The following is a 1,114-nucleotide window of genomic DNA, read 5'->3' as shown; positions in this document are numbered from 1 at the left end:
ACCAACCCAAATGTCCAACAATGATAGACTGGATTAAGAAAATGTGGCACATATACACCATGGAATACTATGCAGCCATAAAAAATGATGAGTTCATGTCCTTTGTAGGGATATGGATGAAATTGGAAATCATCATTCTCAGTAAACTATCGCAAGGACAAAAAACCAAACACCACATATTCTCACTCATAGGTGGGAATTGAACAATGAGAACACAATGAGAACAGAAAGGGGAACATCACAATCTGGGGCCTGTTGTGGGGTGGGGGGAGGGGGGGAGGGATAGCTTTAGGAGATATACCTAATGCTAAATGACGAGTTAATGGGTGCAGCACACCAGCATGGCACATGTATACATATGTAACTAACCTGCACATTGTGCACATGTACCCTAAAACTTAAAGTATAATAATAATAAAATAAAATTAAAAAAAGATTATTTACCATGATTAAATGCCATTCATTTCAGGAATGCAAGGATGGTTCAACATATACCAATCAAAAATTATGATTCCTCACATCATCAGAACCAAAAAAAAAAAAAAACCCCACAAAATCCTTTCAATAGGTGATGAAAAAGCATTGAATGAAATTGAACATCTCTCCATGATAAAAGACCTCAAAAAACTGGGTATAGAAGGAACATTCCTAAAAGCAATGAAGGCCATATATGATAAACCCACAGTTAACTTTATACCAAACAGGAGAAAATTAAAAGCCTTTTCTCTAAGATCTGGGACTAGATAATGAGGCCCGCTTTTGCTTCTGTTCAATATAGTACCAAAATCCTTATCCAAACAATTAGGCAAACAAAAGAAAAAAAAAGGCATCTAAATTGTAAAGGAGAATGTTAGTGTCCCTATTTGCAGATGACATGATCTTATATGTAGGAAACCCTAAAAACCACCAAAACCTGCTAGAACTAATAAATTCAGTAAAGCTCCTGGATTCAGAATCAACGTACAAAAATCAGAAAATTTTCTGAAAAAATTAAGAAAATTCCATTTACAACATCTTCAAAAAATAAAAATAAAATACCTAGAAATAAAATTAAAACTATAAAACAGTTTTGAAAGAAATTGAAAAAGGCACAAATAAAAGGAATAATATTCTG

Source organism: Homo sapiens, chromosome 1 (genome assembly GCF_000001405.40).
Source record: "Homo sapiens chromosome 1, GRCh38.p14 Primary Assembly".
NCBI classification, from domain to species: Eukaryota; Metazoa; Chordata; class Mammalia; order Primates; family Hominidae; genus Homo; species Homo sapiens.
This window is presented reverse-complemented; position numbering follows the sequence as displayed.